At 40.9% G+C, this 24123-nt stretch overlaps 1 protein-coding gene, 1 long non-coding RNA gene and 1 other non-coding gene across 20 annotated transcripts in view, besides 1 other annotated feature; 2 read left to right on the forward strand and 1 right to left on the reverse strand.

The window, feature by feature from the left end:
* Window positions 1-24123, reverse strand: part of PSD3 (pleckstrin and Sec7 domain containing 3) — a 557503-nt gene that overhangs the window by 428450 nt on the left and 104930 nt on the right. Inside the window, exon 2 of one of the 18 annotated variants that reach the window (NM_001412876.1) lies at window positions 14771-14846. The exons of the other annotated variants lie outside the window; for them this stretch is intronic. Within the exon in view, the coding sequence (NP_001399805.1) occupies window positions 14771-14788 (18 nt within the window). The 5' untranslated portion in view covers window positions 14789-14846. The remainder of the gene's footprint in view (window positions 1-14770; window positions 14847-24123) is intronic. 18 annotated transcript variants of the gene reach the window in all.
* Window positions 5863-6066: a silencer, noted in NCBI's record as "fragment chr8:18819125-18819328 (GRCh37/hg19 assembly coordinates)". NCBI's record gives its function as "represses an EF-1alpha promoter that drives an FKBP-Casp9 reporter gene in an ReSE screen in K562 erythroleukemia cells {active_cell/tissue: K562}" and the evidence as "EXISTENCE:reporter gene assay evidence [ECO:0000049][PMID:32094911]".
* LOC107986868 (uncharacterized) lies at window positions 19569-23566 on the forward strand. Its single transcript, XR_001745649.2, has 2 exons — window positions 19569-23322; window positions 23466-23566. It is a non-coding gene; the product is annotated as an uncharacterized LOC107986868 (long non-coding RNA).
* Window positions 23867-24020, forward strand: LOC124900256 (small nucleolar RNA SNORA62/SNORA6 family). The gene has a single exon (XR_007061198.1). It is a non-coding gene; the product is annotated as a small nucleolar RNA SNORA62/SNORA6 family (small nucleolar RNA).

Below are 24123 nucleotides of genomic sequence, written 5' to 3' on the forward strand. Positions count from 1 at the left end.
ATATTTTATTTATTTATTTATTTATTTTATTTTTAAGACGGAGTCTCATTCTGTTGCCCAGGCTGGAGTGTAGTGGTGCGAACTTGGCTCACTTCAACCTCCGCCTCCCGGGTTCAAGTGATTCTCCAGCCTCAGCATCCCAAGTTGCTAGGACTACAGGCACATGACACTGCCTCGGCTAATTTTTGTATTTTCAGTAGACAATGAGTTTCACCATGTTGGCCAGGCTAGTCTCGAACCCCTGACCTCAGGTGATCCACCTGCCTCAGCCTCCCAAAGTGCTGGGATTACAGAAGTGAGCCACCATGCCCGGCCTATATTTTAGACCCCTAATCAACTGAATGAATGGAAGGAAGAAGGAAGCTGAAAGAAAAAGACTTTTCTGAGGAAGCTGTATGATTTAAGGAAAGGCAGATCACTGGAGAAGTGTAAAACACGCTTAGAAAATGAGAGCTAGGCCCGTTCAGCAGATTGTATCACATGAAGGAAGGCTGAGGAGAATGAAGTATAAGAGATCAGGGCTTCTCAAACTGGGGTGGGCATGCACAACACTGGTATCCCGCTAAAACTCTGGTTCTGATCCAGCAGGTCTGGGGTGGGGCCTGACAGTCTGCATTTCTAACAAGATCCCAGGTGATGGTGATGCTGCTGGTCCATGAACTTCACTGCAAATCATAAGAAAGTAGATGATTACACTGGAGAGGCAGATTCTCTCTAAAAAGTTTCCAATGTCAGGCTCAAGAGTTTAGAGTATATTTAGTTGGTAGTCAATTTAAGGAAAGGGGTGTGATGAAGGTTTCTGAGCAAGGGAGACCTAATCACCTTAAAAGAATCAGATTAATAAAAATCTTTATATACATTACCAACCGAGTCTTGCTTAGAGGACCACTTATTTTGTTTTGTTTTTGTCACTTTAATATTTTCTCAGTTTTGGTAAATATAGCACACAACCTTGAGGCTATTTTAGCAAAGTTTCAGTGCTTTACATATATCCCTCTCTAGCTTAAAAATGATTGTTAATAACAGAAGGGACAATTAACAAAGGATCCATGGTTTGGCTTTTCCTGGCCTCCCTACCCCTAATCTCCTCTGACCTCATCAGCTGAGGCCACACCCCAAGGCTCCTGGGTGTTGCTTTCTCACTGTTTCTGGTGGCAACCAGGACTCCAGTTGGGGATCCTGTTTATAAAAATAACATAGGGATAACCAAGAGTTACATGCCCCCATCACTTCTCCTCTCCCAAGATGAAATCTTAACTACTTATTCAGTAAGCAGTGACTGCCAATTCTTGGGGCATCTATCACCTCAACACACCTGGATTTAAGAGTAAACAATCGGCTGGGCATGGTGGCTTTCACCTCTAATTCCAACACTCTGGGAGGCCAAGGTGGGCGGATCACAAGGTCAAAGAGATTGAGACCATCCTGGCCAACACAGTGAAACCCCATCTCTACCAAAAATACAAAAATTAGCTGGGCATGGTGGCGCGCGCCTGTAGTCCCAGCTACTCGGGAGGCTGAGGCAGGAGAATCACTTGAACCAGGGAGGCGGAGGTTATGGTGAGCGGAGATCACGTCACTGCACTCTAGCCTGGTAACAGAACAAGACTCCGTCTCAAAAAAAAAAAAAAAGAATAAACAACCACACAGGAAACAACAGTGACTGTACAATGTGAGCAATGACTTCAACTCAGGCAAACAGTGAAAGGTAAGAACACCCTAGACAGAATCCACGGGCCCAACAGCTAATTCCACATCTCATCCATCTCTGTTCCCTCCAGTCACTAGCATTGGAATGCTGACAGAAGATGGCCAGCATTTGCTACAATTCTTTCACCTATTCCATTACAGCCTAGACAGGGAGGGCTGTAAAAAAAGACTCAGGAATAAGGTAGGCAGAACGGCCTCAGTACCTTATGTCTGGGCATTTTGCCAACATCCTCTCAGATCCTGCTCATCTAGAACACAGCAGTTTCCGAGGTTCTTATGAGGCTCTCTAGCAGGAAGCCACTGCTTGCCAAAGCTCATGAGATCACCAAGTTAATAATGAATGCACTTGTGGGTGGGGTGAAGTGTGGTGCAGCTAGCATGACTGAGACTTCAAATGACCTGGGCTGTGGGAAATGAGTCTTGGCCAGAACACTTCAGATATTTGCCACAGCACGCTCATACACTGTTAGAGTGTAAGGAGGTATAACCTTTTTCGAAGATAATTAAGCTATTGCTACCACAATTTGAAACACATATGCCCTTTTATCCAGCAACTCAACTCTTAATAATTTATTCCACAGACACATACCAAAGAGGAAGGTACAATGATGTTCATTTCAGCAAAATATGAGAACTTAAATGTCATCAAGGGCCTGGCTAATATACAAAAATATAATAAAATATAAGGTAGATATTAAAAAAGAATGAGAAAAACCTTGTGTGCTACACTGAAACTACCGCCAAGATATACTGTTACATATATAATAATGTATGCATATAATGTATCATCTACATAATTATGTATGCACACAAACACACAGGCTACCCTCTGTTAACAGAGATTGTCTTAGGGGAACTGGGTTTCTGAGGTTAGAGAAAGGCCTTTGTTTTATAGCTCCTGCCCTTTTGTTTTATTTATTTATCATACACATGTATTACTATTTCCCTTTTTTGTTTACTTTCTTTTGGGGGAATATCTATTTATTTACTTTTGGGTTCCCAGGACATAGATTCTTTCTGAGCACTCAAGGAATTACAGAAAACATTTACAATGAAAAATGCAGGTCAAGCTAGCAAGATTAAATGCAAAAATCTTAAGATATTAGCAAAGTTAATTCAACATCAAAAAGATAATCTATCATGACCAACTTGGCTTTATCCTAAGAATGCCAAGCTGTTTTAATTTTAGAACTCAATCAATATAATTTACCACACTGATAGATGAAAAAGAAAAACCCATATGGTTAGCAGAATACATGCATAAAATTATATGCAATAAATGTGAATGTCAATTTATTATTTTAAAAATAACCTTAGCAAACTAGGTATACAAAGAACTTCTACAAATCTGCTTAAAGCACTATTTTAAAAAATCCAGAATAAACATCATACTTAATGGTGAAATTTTGTTCCAATAAGTCCTATATACAAACAGGATACAGAGGAGTTAAGTGGTGTTTTTTTTTTTTTTCTTTTGAGACGGAGTCTTGTTCTGTTGCCCAGGGTGGAGTGCAACGGTGTGATCTTGGCTCACTGCAACCTGCACCTCTTGGGTTCAAGTGATTCTTCTGCCTCAGCCTCCCAAGTATCTGGGACTACAGGCACACATCATCACGCTCAGCTAATTTTTGTATTTTTAGTAGAGACGGCATTTCACCACGTTGGCCAGGCTGGTCTCAAACTCCTGACCTCAAGTGACCCGCCCGACTCGGCCTCCCAAAGTGCTGGGATTACGGGCGTGAGCCACCACGTCCAGCTTAAGTGGAGGTTCTTAATCCCTTTCTGAAAGACGATCCCTTTAATATATCTTACATATCATTTCAGGGTGTTTCATATCCATCTCCCTTCCGAACATCCAAAGCCAGAAGATGCATGAATTCCAACTGAAAAAGCCCTGGGGAATCCATTCTCCAGCACTACTGGATTCATACTACCAAAATAACCCGCTGTACACTTTACAGCATTTTAAAACCTTCAGCGGGTCCTCAGCCTACAAAATAAAGCTCACACTCTAGCTCTGCACATCTGACTCCAGTCTCCTATTCCAACTTTCTCTCTCATTGCTCACGACACTAAGCAACGGTGCTCATCTCCTTGGTGTTCATGTCCTCGGTATTTAATGCCTATGACTCCACCCACCTTGCCTTTCTGCCCACACTCACATTCCACTAAGAGAACTGGGAATCAAGACATTACTTTTATTACTGATAAAAGCTGACTAGGGAAAATGGCTAAAGATCAGTGACAAGAATTAGCCAGACCTCCCCAGCCAGTCACTGGCACAGCTAGACAAACTCAAGCCACGCCAGCAAGGCCAGGTCTGTTAACACAAGGCAGAAAAGGCTGTAGTACAGAACCAGCTCTGAACAGAGAGGCCCTGCAGTGCCGAGCTGAGGATCTCCTTCTTACAAATTCACCAATCAGATAAGCCACTCTTTTTCCCATTGTGGTCCCTCAGGCTGGAAACATGAGGCCAGGGAAATGTCACCTCCTTCACTAATATTCAATCCTTGTTTTCAAAGCACAGTACAAGTCCCACTCCAACCTGAAAAATCATTCCATCCCCAGAAAAATTACCCATTATCGATTCCTTGGAATTCCTAGGGAACCTAATGCCTGGGCACTGTTTTGATTCAACATCTACAATAATGTCTCGTATACTGATAGCAGTTTCTCTATCAAGAAAAACCGAGTCCCTGTCTAGCTCTCTGAATTCTCATCATTTAGATGCATGCTCAGAACAAAGACGATGCTCAACTATATGAATTTTGAAAAATTATGAATGTCAGAATGCAGAGTGTGGTCTTTAATAGGTAAGAAGGAATCTTAAGAAAGAGAACGCATGACCAAAGAAGTGTCTTCTGAAGATGAGTAATCGATGGCATGTCTGATTAGAATACAAGACACAGACACAAGACAAGAGAAATGGCAATAAAGAAAACTATTATTTAGATGTGATTTAGAAAAGGGTCCTCAATATCAGAGTAATAAAGCAGAAACCATAAAATAATAGAAAGCTGTCCAACAAAAAACTGAATAAAAACAAATCAAGAAAAGAAATTAGGAAATGCGTAAATGTACTAAGGGTCACAATAGATCACCAGCTGACAGTAAACTGCTGCTTAGTGACATTGTTCACACAACAGGGCTGTTACAGATGGGAAGTAGTAAGTCATTTTTACACTTTCTATGTATAACCAACAGATCCCAATTAGATCCTAACTGAAAAGAATAACGAAGACAATTTAAAGAGCTGAAAATGAGGCTTCTAGAAGGAGGAAAACAGCAATTTATTTATTTATTTATTTAATTCTGAGGGGGTAATCATACTCTTAAAGACAGGCTGGGCACAGTGGCTAATATCGGTAATCCCAGGACTTTAAGAGGCCAAGGGGGCAGATCACTTGAGCACAGGAGTTTGAGATCAGCCTGGGCAACGTGGTAAAACTCCATCTCTACAAAAAAATACAAAAACTAGGCTGTTGTGGCACTGAGCACCTGTATTCCCAGCTACTCAGGAGGCTGAGGTGGGAGGATCTACATGAACCCAGGGAGGTCGATGCTGCAGTGAGCCGTGAGTAACAGAGTCACTGCCCTCCAGCCTGGGTGACAGAGTGAGACCCTGTCTCCAAAAAAACAAACAAACAAAAAGACTACTGGTGAAAGAAAAAGTGCAACTAGACAGTTTACTACTCTACTGAAAAACAGAGACATTCAGTAACAGAGAAATTTTACCTAAATCTGAAGAACTCTTAATAGAATCATTGTTAATAAAGTGATGGTGGAAACAACACTCTTTTTTACTTTGACAACTCAATACTTACGAGTCCACAGTTACTAACACAATGACACAGCAATATAGTACACAAAGAAGGTTACTAGTCAAGCTACTTAAGACAAGGAGGACAAAAATAACAGAAGAGCCATAAAAATAAATATATGCAGGCTGGGCGCGGTGGCTCACGCCTATAATCCCAGCACTTTGGGAGGCCAAGGCGGGCGGATCATCTAAGGTCAGGAGTTCAAGACCAGCCTGGCCAACATGATGAAACCCCATCTCTACTAAAAAATAGAAAAATTAGCTGGGCATGGTGGCACATGCTTGTAATCCCAGCTACTCGCGAGGCTGAGGCAGGCAGAATTGCTTCAACCCAGGAGGCGGAGGTTGCAGCGAGCCGAGATCACGCTACTGCACTCCAGCCTGGGTGACAGAGCGAGACTCTGCCTCAAATAAATAAATGCAGAAGGTATTTGTAGATATAAATATTCCTCTAAAGAGGTATTTAAGATTACCATAAAGATATTTTATTTGTCCTGAGTCAAGAACATGATAAATCAGATATACCGCCTAACAAAACTATTCCTAAATCCTGGCCAAAAGTATGTGTGCTTCCTCCACTACATAGCACTCACTCCCTCCAGCCCATAAAGGACATCATTAATTGATGGCTTGCTTTCCTGCGAAAACCATGTAAAATCTATGACATCGGCTTTCACTTTGCAAAAATTTTATATTTAAAAATAATGAATCCCAGCACTTTGGGAGACCGAGGCATGCGGATCACTTGAGGTCAGGTGTTTGTGACCAGCCTGGCCAACATGGTAAAATCCCATCTCAACTAAAAATACAAAAATTAGCCGGGCCTGGTGGCGGGCACCTGTAATCCCAGCTACTTGGGAGGCTGAGGCAGGAGAATCTCTCGAATCTGGGAGGCGGAGGTTGCAGTGAGCCAAGATGGTGCCACTGCACTACAGCATGGGTGACAAGAGCGAGACTCCATCTCCAAAAAAAAAAGAAAGATAGGTCCATTGCAATTCTTAAAATCTTGTTGTAGACTAAAGTTATCAACAGAGAAGAAAAGGAAAATAATTGATGAAATAAATTTAATAGCTTGTTGTAAATACCACGAATTGCCTTTAAAAATTTCCTCAACATTAAAAAACTTAGAAATCTTTGGCTTTCATTAAAGTTGGGAATATATGACAACACACACACACAGCAAAAGGTATTTTTGGTGGGAGGAGGAGATAATATTTTGGAAAAAAAATGGCAAACTATATTGCTAATGCAGCTCCAGTGAAATGCCTTTTTTTACAAAGTAAAAAGATCAGTGTTAGGTTGAGAATGGGTTAGAGTTATTCCAATTCACTATCAAGCTCTAATTCCCTCCACAGCATCCTGCCCAGAAGTTTAAATACCTCCTCCCACTGTGAAGAATTAACTCTGCCTAGAGAGCTTTTGTTGTTTTAAATCTTTTTTCTTAAAAAAAGAAAGTCATGCATGACTATATACTATGAGCCAGGCAATGGGCTAACAACTTTATCTTGCCACACTAATCTTTACAACCACCTGAAGATCTAGGTTCTCTTGTCACTCCTATCTTGCAGATAAGGAGACACAGAAAGGTTAAAGGTCACGTCAGGCCATTGGTGGAACCAAGATATGCCATGGTCCTTGGAAGAGTTCTTTCAGCCTACACAACATATGTATTAGTCCGTTTTCACGCTGCTGATAAAGACATACCTGAGACTGGGGATAAAAAGAGGTTTAATTGGACTTAAAGTTCCACATGGCTGGGGAGGTCTCAGAATCATGGTGGGAGGCGAAAGGCACTTCTTACATGGCAGCGGCAAGAGAAAATGAGGAAGATGCAAAAGTGGAAACCCCTGATAAAACCATCAGGTCTTGTGAGACTTATTCACTACTATGACAACAGTATGGGGGAACCGCCCCCATGATTCAATGATCTCCCACCAGGTCCCTCCTACAACACATGGGAATTATGGGCATACAATTCAAGATGAGATTTGGGTGGGGACACAGAGCCAAACCATATCACCATATATATTTCCATTTACTAAAAACCACAGAATTTGACTTCCTGAATTTGTGTTTCTAAACTAAAAATTTCCTTCAAAACTTTTCTCATGCAAATACCAGAGCCTCTGACGTTTCTGTGGACTATGGATTCCCACTCAAGAATCTTAGCATTTTCTCTTTTTTTCTTATTTTATACATACTCGACTCGCCAACTAAATTGCAAAGCATCAACAAGACAAATCCAATTTTCTTCTCTCAAACCGATTCAGAGGGGTAAGCAGAGACCACCACAGTGTTTAAAAATTAGAATCACTGATTAGTTCCTTACATTTGTCTTGCACAAGAATTTCTGCTATACAACGCTAGCTGGGAGAAAATAAGAAATGGGGGGAGAGAATGAATGGCCAACAGCAATGTTTCAGGTATAAATAATTTATTAACAGTACTCCAAATTTAATGAAATAGCAATATTTTAAGACTTTGTTCATAGTTAAAATATAGACACCACATTATCGAAACATGAAGCAAATATGTCATTGAAAAGAGTGAGAGGTATAATGCTTGCCCAAACAGATCAGATGGGTCATTTACCCTACATATTCTATGCTTATCTTGCTTACTTACTGTCTCTCTGTGAATGATGGTGTTTGTTTCAGGTAATTTAGCCCCAGTAGGCAGGCTTTCTTCACGAAGAGAAGAAATAATGTCTTAGTAAGAAGACAGCGCACACATGCATAGTTTCTACATATACTTGCCTATATTTATAGGCAAAATACCTCAATTAAAGTAAGAGTTACAAGAAACACCATTCTCTAAATCTAATGAATAACTCGGGTTTTTTTTGTTTGTTTGTTTCTGTTTTTGAGAGTGTTGCTCTGTAACCAAGTCTAGAGCACAATGGTGTGATCATGGCTCAATGCAGCCTGGAGTTCCCAGACTCATGTGACCTCCCACCTCAGCCATCCCAGTAGCTGGGACTACATGTGCCACCATGCCTGGCTAATTGTTTTAACTTTTTTTTGTAGAGGTGGAGTCTCACTATGTTGCCCAAACTGGTCTCAAACTCATGGGCTCGAGTGATCCTCCCACCTAGGCCTCCCAAAGTGCTGGGATTACAGGTGTGAGCTACATTGCCTGGCCATTAATAACTCTTGTTACACAAAACTAATAACCTTAATGACTTTTTTTTGCACAAAACTAATGCTTTACTCCTTAAAACCTGGAGCATTTTTTTTTTTTACTTCAAAGATTGTGTTGCCTCAGAACCAATTCACAAGAGAGGCAATGATTATCTCCTTAAAGTGTGGTCTCATGAACAACCAGCTACTCTTGACTTCTTTATGGAGAGGCCTTCCTTGATCTCCAAAGCTGCTGGAATGTCCTGAGTGGTTCCGAACTGCCTAATTTTCCCCAGAGAGGCACAAAAGATCCTGCGTCTACCACTGCTCTCAACTCGCTCAAAGCCAGTGGCCTCCTTTTTACATCCAAGCCACCCTTTTACTTATTTTGAAACTCAAAGGAAGTAGATTATAAACAAGGTGGCATAGATTTGTTCACAGGGCTATATTTCAGGAACTATAATTATTTGTGTGGCCTTCAGGTCAGACTTTTTGCTTTTACAGCTCTAAAATGTTATTTGTTTAAATCCCAGCCCTAAAATATTTAATATAAACTATTAAAACACCATTTGCATGACCAACTTATTCTTCACTGAATCTCGGCTCATAAAAAGGTTCATTCATGTTAAAAAGCTATTTTTAAATGCGGCTAACTCATTGCTTAGAATATGCTAACAATTAAGCATTATACTTCACTGGAATTTTTATAGTTTAAAATTATATTTCTCCCATCTCATTTCCTCCCCCACCAATTCTGCCATCCCAAATAGCAACATTATTTTAAACTTTGCTGTTTTCTATGACAATAACCTCATTCACTGGTCATTCAGAAATAATGTCCTTCTGAAGATGCTGGCAACTGACTTTCACACTCAGTTATATGTCAGGTTTTGGCTACCTAAAGATGTATGAGCACATCATGCCAAGGCCCAAGAGAAGTTCCTCCAGCTGAAATCAAGGGAATAGGTTGCGCCCTTGAGGAACCAGCGTCCCCTCTATGGAGCCATTCACAGGCTGTGCTGGTAAGGCCTTGTTCTCTCATCCCATTACCCCGTTCGGCGGGGGTGACAGTGACAGCAAGCATCACACACGCTAGTGAGAAAGGACCCATGCCCGGTTGCCACTGTGACCATTTACTACTCAAGTAGAGCACAAGGTTTAAACAATGCTCTCAAAAATTACAGCCTAGAGTTATTGAAAAAGCTGAGTCCCCACAGATAGACTCGAAGCTGCAAAATGCAGTAAGTGGTGTACATAAAAAGTGTCCAATCCAACAAGCTGTAGGTCAAGCTTGCAAGATTCTGGAGATGGATGGCAAGTGAAAACATGTGAAGCCAACAGGCCCACTCTTGATTTTGACACGTGGATATTTTCACACCCATGAGATGGATCTGAAGCTTAATACAGAATTGTAATGCGAAAAGCAACACGTGAACAAAATAAATGGACACATAACAGCAGCGTAAATGCCAGGCCTGAGTTAAGCTCCTGGTAATATAACACCCGGGGTTTGGGCTTTTCCGTGCCCATTTCCTCTTGTGAGTTTAAGGCACATTACTAAAATGATCTCATTAATCCTCACAACACCTGATGAGGGGAGTAGGCAACAAATATTTTAATCTCCCATATAAGATGGAAAAAACAAATCACCAATGTGCTGTATAACTTTTCCCAGGATTACAGCTAGCACTCAGTCAGAGAAAACAGTCGACTTGAATCTCAGTAAAGAGTTGACTATACCAGGCTATTTGAAAGAAAATGCTGCTCACTAAGATGGATTTCTTAATTAAGCAGCTGTATACCACATACATTCCAGGTGGACTGCCATTCCACTTCTCACAGAGTTTCCACACCTATACTAGGCTGTCAAACAGAGTCATTTTTCAGGCCAGGTGCGGTGGCTCAGGCCTGTAATTCCAGCACTTTGGGAGGCCGAGGCAGGTGAATCACTTGAGGTCAGCAGTTCAAGAACAGCCTGGCCAACACTGCGAAATCCCCATCTCTACTAAAAATACAAAAATTAGCTGGGTGTGGTGGTGCACGCCTGTAATCCCAACTACTCGCAAGGCTGAGGTAGGAGAATTACTTGAACCTGGGAGGTGGAGGTTGCAGTGAGCTGAGATTGCACCACTGAACTCCGGCCTGGGCAACAGAGAGAGACTGTCTTAAAAAAAAAAAAAAAAACCAAAAAACACAAATAGAGTCATTTTTAAAAATACTTCCCTAGACCTCCTGGCTTCCAGTTATGCCCTACAACTGTTCTTCTCAAACAGGGGACTCCTCAGATCCCCAGGGTCACAAACCAGTGTGCCCCAGGAGGACGCAACGTTTCCGGACCAACGGGCACATCTTCTTGGGGCTCAATTTGAATAGATGGTCATTTAAAATCTGATTTTGATATTTAAATATATTTTTAAATGAAATGCAAAATTGGCATAAAATTTTCAAATTAGTCTTAAAATAAATGATACCTAAAAGCATGCTGCTTTAGGAGATACTCACAAGCAAGGCTTGGGTAGGGGGAGAAGGGATGGTAGGTGCACTTTGCTATTAAGTGTAGTTCAGGGAAAACATGTCCAAAAACAGAACAAAGCAACTTAAGAGGAAAAACAATTCCAATCTGCTTGCCTGGTCCAAACCATTCCAGGCAGACAGGAACATTTCCTGCCATAAAAGCTTTTACTTGGCTTTCTTTTCACGTGGGCTGTAAGACCTATCAGCATGGAATCCCACTTAGGATTTTCTTTTTTCTTTATTTATTTTTTTTTTTTGAGACGGAGTTTCACTCTCGTTGCCCAGGCTGGAGTGCAATGGCATGATCTTGGCTCACGGCAACCCCTGCCTCCCAGGTTCAAGTGATTCTCCCGCTTCTGCCTCCCGAATAGCTGGGATTACAGGTGTGCACCACCATGCCCGGCTAATTTTGTATTTTTAGTAGAGACGGGGCTTCTCCATGCTGGTCAGGCTGGTCTCAAACTCCCGATCTAAGGTGATCCACTCCCAAAGTGCTGGGATTACAGGCGTGAGCCACCGCGCCTGGCCAGGATTTTCTATTAAAAAATCTTAAGATTACTAGTAGTAAAATGCTATTTCCATATTAAACCTGACAACATCAAAGCTACCTATTGACTCACTTAACTATTTCCAGAAAGCCCAGCAGATACCAGACTTGCCCTGCTGAAGGCCTTTATGAGCTGGTCCACAAAACATCTTAGAACCTTTGACCATCAGGGTAGGGTTCTCTTTACTATTTCAACCAGAAAATTAGAAAATCAAGGAAAGGCAAATGACCTCAGATGTTGGTAGGAGGAATTCCTTTATATTTACTAAAAATATCTACTAGCTGCCAAAAGAGTCACATGATAAAGTTGGTAACCAGAAATGGAGGCATGTGAAAGATACACACAGGTTATCAGGAAAATCAGGTGACGGAAGATACAGGCTTCTCCCAACACAGACTTTTTCCAAGTGCTCAGAATTAGAATTGGGTATCGAGGGCCCATTCACATATTCCTGGGAGCTGCGAGGAGAATTGCTTCCAATATCCAAGTTCTACAAAAGGCTAGCAAAAGATCCAAACCTAAACCACCAAAACCAGACTGGTAACTGCTTTGAGGAACTCACTGAGCACTCTGACCACAGCAGACATTCATCTCAAGCTCCTCACGGTGGCTCCAGATTTATAAACAGAAATTTATGTCCACATTTCTATAGTTCCTGAAATTGCCAGAGAAGGAAATTCTGCACACGCACACAAAACTGTGCACCACTTCAGGGCAGCCACTGGCTTCAATTAAGAAAACCTTATGTTTCTACCCAACATCTGAGATTCTCCAACTCAGAAAACCTCCCTGCAAGTCCAATTCTGACTCATCAGGATTCTCTGACACTGAGGCAAAGTTTACAGGAGACCATAAACTTTTCAAGAAGACTTTAAACTTTATTTTAAAAGCAGAATGTGTATATCTAAATCAATTGTCCTCGTTCAAATGGTCACCTTAGAAAACCACACACGTTATTTCAAGGAATCCTGAGCAAATCATTTGGAATTCCTATTCTGAAAGAACCTTCGACGCCAGTTTTCACATCACACGATGCACGCTTCTTTATAGACATCTCAAGACTAAAGAAAAACTATTTCCCAGCTTGCTGTCACCTAGCTTGCAGAGCATACTTTAAAATGTTGTGGCCTGGGCCAGGTGTGGTGGCTCACGCCTGTAATCCCAGCACTTTGGGAGACCGAGGCAGGCAGATCACGAGGTCAGGAGTTTGAGACCAGCCTGACCAACATGGTGAAACCCCGTCTCTAATAAAAATACAAAAAATTAGCTGGGTGTGGTGGCATGTGCCTGTAATCCCAGCTACTCAGGAGGCTGAGGCAGAAGAATCGCTTGAACCCAGGAGGTGGAGGTTGCAGTGAGCCGAGATCGCGCCACTGCACTGCAGCCTGCGTGACAGAGCAAAAAAAAAATGTCTCCAAAAAAAAAAAAAAAAAAAAAAACTCCACCCACAAAAATATAAAGGCCCAACACCACTGGGGATACGTTTTTAAAATGCAGTGGGGGATATGAAGACAATTCCAAAGAAAAAAGATTTAGTAGCATGTATTGAGTTATTATAACATCACAGAAATAAGTATATAGCCTTCCAAAGTGTCTACTATGAAAAGGAAAATATTCTTTTAAATCTTTAAATTACAACATAAAACATATTAACTTAATAAACATTTCTTGAGGGGAAGGAGGTAATATTCAGAAATGCCTTCCAGAATGACTTACCTTACTGGAATCTACTTTAATAACAGCTGTAAAGTGCGAAGCAGTCACATCATAACCATACATTCTCTTAAAAATCCCTCTCCCACAAATATTCGTTGACAAAGTGTCCTACAAAGCACATATTGTCTTAATTCAAACCTGAAAATAAGACATCTAAATTTCGATGCAACAGCAGCCAGCAATAAAATGACTATAACATTAGCTTCACGTTCAATTGCATAGAAATCAACGGTACACCATAAATTTGTGTTAATAACCAGAAAAGTTCTGGGTGACAGGGGACTCTGTAATGACAGACAATGTATGCATGTTTTAGGCCTTGTTAAAAAAATTATGTTATACCAACAACTTTTTATTAGTGGCCATTTCTAAAGAGAGGTCATATACCTTCTTTGTTTAGCAAAATAATTTAAGACTACATTAATGAAATGCCCTTGATCTTTTGAATGTTCATCTTTAGGTAAATTCAGTATTCAAATTACTATATGGGATGTTTCATAACTATTAGCCTTGGCTATCTTACTCCACAGACCTGAATTCCTGTAAACATACCTGTAAGTTAAAGTAAACCCAAGGATCTTTCAAAGTCCAAAAATTCTAGTCACGAGGAGCAAATATTTAGGAGGAAATAATAGTTCCATCATTATGGGTCTGTAGACACAACAGATACATGTTCTCCATATAAATATTTAAAAAAAAATCTCCCCACAAGGGATTTTTTAAAACAGTGCGCAAAATACCTATAGCTTTAAGAATTTTAAAAGTTTATGTATATTCCTGCTTGCACAGTAAAATTAATAAACACTATCTAGTTTTTTGAAGAAAGAAAGAAACGCTAGGTAAAAGGAAAAACAAGAAACAACCTCGGCCAGGTGCGGGCTCACACCTGTAATCCCAGCACTTTGGGAGGCCAAGTTGGGCGGATCACGAGGTCAGGAGATCGAGACCATCCTGGCTAACACGGTGAAACCCCATCTCTACTAAAAATACAAAAAATTAGCCGGGCGTGGTGGCGGGCACCTGTAGTCCCAGCTACTCAGGAGGCTGAGGCAGGAGAATGGCATGAACCCGGGAGGCGGAGCTTGCAGTGAGCCGAGATCGCACCACTGCACTCCAGCCTGGGCGACAGAGCAAGACTCTGCCTCAAAAAAAAAAAAAAAAAAAAAAAACAAAGAAAAGAAAAGAAACAACCTCATTTCCCCCAATATATCTAATTACCGGCAAACCAACATTCCTTATTTTCTTTTATTTGCAATTCGATGAATTCCCTAAAGGTCTGGAAAAACTTCAGCATTTCTAATTAGACTGTAATTTTTCTACCAGACAATCAGACATAGTTTCACCTTTATACAACTTCCCATGTCCTAAATGCCAACATCCTGGCATGCTCCCCGTCCATCTTCCTTCTCTTAACAGCACCTGTTTTGAAAAGGTGAAAACATTTAGTCTTTCCTAGAATTGTCCTCTGAAAATCAATCAGTTAAAGATGAGAGGTCTGGATGCGGTGGTTCGTGCCTATAATCCCAGCACTTTGGGAGGTGAAGGTGGGAGGAACATATGAGGTTAGGACTTCGAGACCAGCCTGACCAACATGGTGAAACCCTGTCTCTACTAAAAATACAGAAATTAGCTGGGCGTGGCGGTGTGCACCTGTAGTACCAACTACTTGGGAGGCTGTAGTCCCAACTACTTGGGAGGCTGAGACAGGAGAATCACTAGAACCCAGGAGGCGGAGGTTACAGTGAGCCGAGATCACACCACTGCACTCCACCCTAAGTAAAAGAGCGAGACTCTGTCTCAAGAAAAAAAAAAAAAGACAAAAAATTCCTAACTGCCACATAAATAGCAATTATCCACCCCAGGGAATGCATTCCTTAATGAGACCATGCAGACCTCACATGTGCTTAGGCAGGAATGAAAAAACCCCAGAATCCTAGGCCACAAGTTTAAAACAGTCAAATAAGGACCTTCCTATGTAGATTACAAATTAAAAACAAAATGGACTCAAGTTAGTTTAGGTAGAAAAGGTGTGTGTTTACTGGCAAGGTTTGGGGAAGCTCCCTGTCTCTGGGAGGGCCGGACACCCAGGCTCAGGCGGGAACAAGCAGGGCAAAGCTCAGCCAAGGTCCTGCCACACCACAGGCTGACCGAGTCACTGCAGCCACCACGGCCTCCCCTCAGTGGACAGTCCCCTCCCATGCGCCTGGGCTCTGGACCCTGAATACTGTCATGAGGACAATACCCCATCAACTGGCCTAGCTGGCCCCAAGAGTCTTCACAAACAGAACCACTCTCCTGAGAAAATACCAGAATGGGTGGGGCTGATTGTGCTCAGATCACAGGCCCAATCTGATGGCCAGAGGTAGGGGAATGAGGCTGCAGCCCCCGGGCTTCAGCACAAGGAGTTTGAGTCCCGCCTCACATCTGCCTTTGAGTCCCTCAAAAAGGAAGGGGACCTGGCACATAAAAAGATAATTCTGCCATGGAGGGATGTGGAAAATAGGATTCGGAGGGTCCCTTCCTGTTCTAAAATACTATAAACAGGCCAGGTGCAGTGGCTCACACCTGTAATCTCAGCACTTTGGGAGGCCAAGGCAGGTGGATCACTTGAGGTCAGGAGTTCAAGATCGGCCTGGCCAACACAGTGAAACCCCGCCTCTACTAAAAATATAAAAATTAGCTGGGCATGGTGGCGGGTGCCTATAATCCCAGCTCCTCAGGAGGCTGAGGTAGGAGAATCGCTTGAGCCTGGGAGGCAGAGGTTGCAGTGAGCCGAGATCACGCCACAGCACACCAGCCTGGACAACACAGCAAGACTGTCAAAAAAAATAAAAATAAACAAAATACTATAAAGAGTCAGATGAAGATTTAATGCCTATCATCCTAAACAGAAAAGAAAGGTATGACTCTTACTAATTCAAATAATAAGGAATGAATAGCCTATTTCCTCAATCTATTTTCATAGAGTATGATCTGATGAAAGCTATTCATTAAAACAAACCAAATAGAGTGTCCTTCTGTCAACTAGGCTCCTACTTTATTTATGTACTTCCAGATCCATTTGTCTAATTTCCACTTGTGAAAAGCAAATGGAATTGATTTTCTGCAATGATACTAAATACAACGCTGTTATAATGTTCAGAACAGGTAACAGGAGGGGAGCAGGGAGTCTGTAAGAGACTGCCAGGTGCAGGAATAACAAACAGACAGATGTGATCAAAGAGCAGCAGTTATCACAGGGTCAGATTTTGACTCAACATAGCTAATTCCTGGGAACATTTGAAGGAATCCAACCCCGGAACAAGTTTCACAACAAAACAGTACCTCCACCAATGGAGGCAGCCACTGCTAGGAAGAGAGCAATGTGCTGAATGTGTTCCCCCCAAATTCATACATTAAAACCCTAATCCCAGTATGATGGTATCTGGAGGTAGGGTCTTCATAAGGTAATTAGGTCATAAGGGTGGAGCCCTCATCAATGGGATCAGTGCCTTCATAAAAATAGGCCAGAAAACTAGGTAACTCTGTTTACACCATGTAAGGACACATGTAAACCAGAAAGAGGACACTCACCAAGGATTCTAATCTCAAACTTCCAGCCTCCAGGACTGTGAGACACAAATGTTTGTTGTTTAAGCTACGCTGTGTATGATAATTTGCTACAGCAGCTCAAACTAAGACACACAGCATGGAAAGCATCACTGGGCAAGTAGGTAGGCTGGCTGGGCCACCCTTCAAAGGTCCTGTCCAACGAGGTTTTAAAAAAATGATTTTCTAGATTCTGAAACAAATAAAAGCTGAAATTAACAAGACAAAACTTCGAATTTGGACAAAAATAACAGACCCAATATAGGATAATGTAGACCTGAGTCTTGGGGGTTTATTCGATGGACTACCTCACACAATCTGCGATTCCACTGTAAGGGCAGTGTCCGGCACCCAAAATGCTTGGACCATCTGGGGGTTCTGAGTTCATCTCCAGGTTTCCCATTTTGAAAAGAACACTGACACGTGAAAGTATTGAGACAAGGGTGACAATGATGAAGAGGCAACTGAAAACCCCCTCAAGATGGGGATGATGACATAAGAAAAGAAAAGGGATCTAGATTTGTCTGCTTAGGCTGCTATAACAAGACAGAAGACTGAGTGGCTTAAGCAACAGACATTTTTCTCAAAGTTCTGAAGGCTGGAAGTCCAAGAGCATGGTGCCATCTGGGTTGGATTCTGGTGGCGGCCCTCTTACTGGCTTGGAGACAGCCACCTTCTTGCTCTTGTCCTCAGATGGTCTTTCCTGTGTGTATACACTCTGGTGTCTCTTCCTCTTCTTGGAAGAACACCAGTCCTACTGGATTAGGGGCCCATCCTTATGACCCCATTTAACCTTAACTACCTCCTCAAATGCCCTACCTCCAAATACAGTCAGCACACTATGGGTTAGAACTTGAACATGTGAATTTTAGGGAGATACAAGTCAGTTCATAACAGGACTCAATCCTAAGTATATGAAAGGCCATATCTGAAAAGGATACCAATTGGATCTCTATTGCTCTAGATGGCAGAATTAGACATGAAGTGGGAGTATTAGAGTTGGACTAGATGAAGTTTAAGCTTCTTTCATTCTGCTGTTATTATTAAACTATAGAATATGAGTTACTAAGGACTTACTATGAACCAAACTTTGTGCTGATCAAATCTTTCTGTCCATTCTGAGGTCGATACTGCTATTATGACCATTTACTGTTCTTTACAAATGGAGGCCTGCTCTTGCACAGTGTCACATTGCTGTTAAGTAGCAGGACAGGATCCCAGACCATCACACTCCAAAGCCACCCAATCTAGCTTTTAACCATTGAGTAGCCTACAATACAAATGATAAAATAACTCCATTTACCAATAGAAAATCACACAGAAGAAAACGAAAATACTAATAACCATATTACCACCATCATTTATTTTTCTATGTACCAGTTCTCTCCATAGATTGTCAGAGTTAATCTTCACTTCAAGCCAAGGTAGGCATTATTATGCCCATGTTACAGATAAAGAAAAAGGCTCAAAAAGCCTTCCTCAAACTCAGACAGTGACTAAAAACATGTGGGGAACAGGATTCAAACCAACCTCTGAGTTATTTCAAATGCAAATCTTTTATGTCAATTACAATGCACTCCAACTAGGCTCTGACTTGGCTCAGGCCCTGGGATCTGATAGACTTCAAAATCCTCTGAAACTGACATTTCCCAGGGAGGGCCACATAGAATGCAGACACTGCCTTTAAGAGAGAAAAAGACGCAAGGAGAGCAAATTCTATGAAATGAAATCAGGCTTTCCACTACCAAATCCTGTGCCATTCGGCAAGAACTCAGGGAGCCCCACTACGCGCTAGTCCCAGGGAACACACAGAGCAACAAGCAAAAGGAAACCCCACTCCCCTGGACCCTACATTCTAGTGCAGGGAGACTGAAGGAACCAACCTCCAATATAACACATCAAGTCAAAAAAAAAAAACAAAAAACAGTGAAGGGGCAGGGGAACAGGGGTGGAGGGTTGAGTGCTGTTTCAGAATCAATGATCAGGCTGGGCTTGGGTTTAAACTGCTGCAAAGGAGCACAGAAGACCTGCTAGCTATACATCCAGCAGGTCCTGCAGTCTTGACTACAGCCTGGTATTTCCTTGCTTTTCACTGGAGGAAAGGGTGGACCGCAGTGCTAATTACAAACAGGTCAAAGGGAAAAAAAAATACAAAATCTTTTTCCTTGACCAGAAGGGAAGCAGTTACCATGCACTGTTGCCATGGCATTGGAGAAAGAGAAAAAGCGACATTCTAAGTACCAGAGTATGAAAAGAAACACAACAGTGAGGAAAGGACAAGAGGCTGGCAGAGGTTTCACTCCCTGCAGTGCTGAGGCCTGCTGGGTGGCAGGTGGGAAGCAAAGCTTTCAAAAGGGACAAGGGTTGGAAGGGTGGGGAAGAGGAAAAGCTCAGAGCTATTAAGGAAAAGGTCTCTGCCTAGTCCCCCCGTTTTCTACATCCCTAATATATCAGGGTACTTAATAAAATAGTTGCAGAAAAATAAAAATAAAAGAACACCAAGTTTCTGAAATGCACAGAATAATTCTAGATAAACATTTTCTGAAATTTTTTTTTTTTTTTTTTTTGCCAATATGTACCATAGGCTTCAGCCAGCTAACTTACTACTGATGTGATTCTGTATGGCTCAGGAGTAGAAGGCTATAATTGGTGGGATGGAAGGCATATGCTAAAAGTCACGCAGAAGAGCGTTTGTAGCCGATTTCTGCCATTTACAACTATGGAACTAGAGATAAGTCACTTGGCTTACCCAAGTCCCTCATTCTTTATCCATAAGATTAAAATAGAAAGAGTAAAAGAGATAACAAGTATAAAGGTTGACTTATGATAGTAAATTAATAAACATTCATTCCTTTCCTGCAACAGTTCCAGTATCTTTTGCTCTAATACCATCAGTGTTGGGAAGGTTCATTCCACTGTTAGATAACTGATTTTACAAAATTTTAAAAATTGCACATATAGTCAAAATCCTTCTTAAGGCATGAACAGGCAATTCACAAAGGAAGAAATACTAACTGCAAATAAACATATGGAAAATGTCTCAATGCTAACTCATAAAAAAAAATACACATTGGCCAAGAGTTTTAAAAATAATATTATGTAATATCATTGGTTATTGAGAAATAGGCACCCTGACATACCCTGATGGTCAACCTACTTTTATCATTCTTCTAGAGAGACAGAAAATACGAATCAATGCCTTAAAAATGTATATTCCCTTCCATCCACCATTTACACTTCTAAGAAATTTCCAGAGAAAATAATAAATGGATGCTCTTGACAGCATTGTAATGAAAAACTGTAAGCAACAAAAGTCCCACCATTCACATAAACTATAATATCACCATAAAATGTAAAATACAGTCATTAAAATGCTTATACTAGAAAGACATTTGCAATGCATAGGAGAATTCAAAATCTAATTTCTTTATTTTACAGAGAGCTTATAAAAATTATTAAAAATAAAACTATCCAATAAAACCACGAAGACAGTTCACAAAAAAAGAAATACAAATGCCCAATAAAGATACATTGTATAACCTTATTATTAAATAAATTACAAATTACATTGAAATACTATTTTTCACCAATTAAAAATTGTAGCATCTGTGATACCCAGGACTAGAAAGGTACAGTGACACAGGCAATTTCATACCCTTGTGGTAGGAGTATATGTGGACATTACTAATGTTTACCAATACCAAGGCTTTCTCCATCTCTGACCCCCTTGAAGCTGGGAATATGTAGTTAGCAGTAGCCAAGTTCCAAAAGGGTCCAAATCACAGATTTCACTTACTACATGACACAAGAACTATTTAACCTCATTATGTCTTAATGTCTTCAAAGGTAAAACAGGGATAATAACAATAATCTACCTCATAGGGATATTTTGAGAATTCAAGCATAGTGCATGGCACGCAGTATTACTAATAATAATATAAATCACAGATCGTACTATGTAGCAGGCACTGTTCTATGCATTTATCCATAGTAGCTGATTTTATCACTCAATAAACAGTACCATTAGTATGACAATATTGCCGCATTGCTTGTAATTGCAAATATCTGAAAACAATCAAATTGTCCATCAATAGTTAAGGGGACAGTTAAACCAAAGTATACAAAGGACGTATATGTGGCTGTTATAGAGAATGAGGTAGTTCTGTACATGCTGATAGAGAAAGATTTTTTAAAAAATAGAGAAAGACTATTGTTTGACTTTGTTTTTAAAGTCTAACGGTATGAGTGTGGTTAAGAAATGGTGGGTGGATCATCTGAGGTCAGGAGTTGGAGACCAGGCTGGCCAACATGGTGAAACCCCATTTCTACTAAAAATACAAAAATTAGCCAGGTGTGCTGGTACATGCCTGTAATCCCAGCTACTTGGGAGGCTGAGGCAGGAGAATCGCTTGAACACAGAAGGCGGAGGTTGCAGTGAGCTGAGACTGCACCACTGCACTCTAGCCTGGGCAACAGAACAACACCCTATCTCAAAAAAAAAAAAAAAAAAAAATTGGGTTCTTGAGCCAGACTATCTGAGCTCATTTCCTACTAGCTGTATGGCTTTGGGAATTAAACACTTAGCCTCAGTATCCTCATCTGTAAAACAGGATTAATAATAGCAACTACTTCTGATGGCTTTTGTGGGGATTAAAGGAGCTAACAGATAAAACAGTCCCCCTGGCATATAGTCAGCAGCCAACTAATGTTATTTGCTTTATTACTAATCATTTTAACATGTCACATGGACTGAGAGATAATGGGCCTTTTTATTTTCTTTATGCTTATCTGTATTTAAAAAGATAGAGAGATTTGTCTTTTGAAAATACAAAATTGTATTCTGATATGAGAGATGTATAGAACATGTCATATGAGAAATGTTAGTAAAAAACAGTATATACAGCCCAAAGTCATTTTTATTAAAATATATTTAATGTTATGTAAATAAGTGTACATTAAAAATTTAGACATGCACTAAAATATTACCAGTGGTCTCTCTGGGAGATGGATTATAAATTATTTATATTTTCTTCTTTTTACTTATCCCTATTTTCTGATTTTCCTAAAATCAACACACATTACTTATGCAATAAGATTTTAACTGTCGTAATTTATTTCCAAGCATAGAAGTCACAAAGGAAGAGGTTAAACTGAGAGGCTTCCAATGATGTAACCAGAGATGGACTTTTGAGCAAAAACAAGTGAACAATACATGATTTACTGAGAACCCATACGTTCGATATCATGACGCTAGCAAGGAAAACAGCAATTGATCATCAGTACCTAAGACTGCCATTCTCCATTGGGCCAGGCTCCCACCTGACTTTAGGGAGGAATTTGAAAGCCAGAATCTCGCCCCAGGTAAATGCAATAGGAGCCAAAGCAGGTAACACAGCTCAGAGCTGAAGTTTGCTGAAAAGGCCAGAGGGCACTGCCTGCAAGGCTAAAAGCAACACTGCACGTCCACACGCTGGGTTTCAACACTTTTTTCACAGCAGCAAATCCATAACGGACTCTGAGTGAACTGGGAAAGAATAACTAAAACATTCAAAATACTTCCAGAAAATCATTTTGCATGATGACTTCTCTTACTATGTCCAGCTCTGAGTAAGCAAGGAAGGTCACAGGATTTTGTTCAGATTTGGAAGTAGAAAGGGAAACGTGAGGTTATACTCAGGAAATCCTTTTGCTAAGATTCAAAAAATCTGAAAATTAACAAATTCTAAAACATGCACCTTTCAATTTGCCCCTCCTCTCCTTAACATCTCTCCATAACCTGAGATGGCTACATCTATGGTTGGACTGGACTAGAGGCAATAAACACAGACACAGTAACCTCAACATGGGGTTTACAGCGCAGGAATGAGGAGGAGCCAGTGGCAGGTATAGAATGTTCCCACACCTCAACCACTGCCAGGCTCCGCAGCTCACTGATGCAGCAGACACTGCTTCAGAGCACTGCTTTATTGGTACCACTTCTGAGAAGCAGCAAAGCAGACATACGTCTTTCTCTATCATCTTCTCTGTCTCTCAATCCCTCTCAATGACAATGACTCATTCTCTCTTTCAACCTCTCTCCCTTCCTCTCTCCTACCCTCTACCCTCATTCCCACCCCCTTATCACTACACTAAGGCCAGCAAGAAGCCACAACCACAGAAGAGCTTCCAGGCAGCAGTGAAGCAGTTCAGTCTCAAAGAAAGCCAGACAGGAGTCCAGATGCCTGTGTTCCTTCTGGAGTTCGCTATATGACCTCACTATAATCCCTTTACCACTGTGGGCTTATTTTCTCATCTGGAGGACGAATGGGTAAGAAGAGACTTCTGAGGTCTTTTTCCTGCTTTAAAATTCTGTGATTTCACAATAACTGAATACAGTCACTAAACGGGAAACCACCAAGACACTGGGGGGCGGCCAGCACATAGCCATCTTTGTTGTATTTTTCATTGCAGGCTTCCAAAATGTCTGTTGCCAAGAAGTATATCCAACTAGACCCTCGGCCCATGTTTTAATTTTTATACACTGTAATTAAAAGCAGAATGACTTGCTTTCACTTTGGATTATGTAATTTCTTTCTATTCATAATGAGCAGCTCTTACATGATGCCAAGTGAGTTTTCTCTTAGGGAGCACATTCTTACTCAACCAGAGAACTGTTGGCATTTGGATTAATAGAATCAATAGTATCTTTCATTCCAAAACCAGAAATTGCTGTTTTGATATGGTCTGCCCACAGTTCTTCCAAGGAAAATATTTTTATTATTTTACTACTAATATCTCCTTACAGCTTATACATGAGTGAAGCATTTATTTTTATATTAAATAAATCATGCTCTTTAAAATAAAAATGAATATATTCTTCTTGTTAGAGCTCGGAGTTGAGGCCAGTGACTGGCCAATGAACTCACAAGTGTAGACAGGGTGTTACGCAAGGGACAAGTTTTTCACTAACACCACAAGAGTCTCTGGCCCAATGAGAGGAGTTTAATAGAAATTCTTGCTACAACTAAAAGAAAGAAAAGAACAAATAAAAGAATATACTCTCCTACTGTAAAATCTACTTAAGAAAAAGTAGGTTATCAGGTCTTTATTGCAGAAAGTGGTTTTTATT

The sequence above is a fragment of the Homo sapiens genome, chromosome 8 (assembly GCF_000001405.40).
Source record: "Homo sapiens chromosome 8, GRCh38.p14 Primary Assembly".
NCBI lineage: Eukaryota > Metazoa > Chordata > Mammalia > Primates > Hominidae > Homo > Homo sapiens.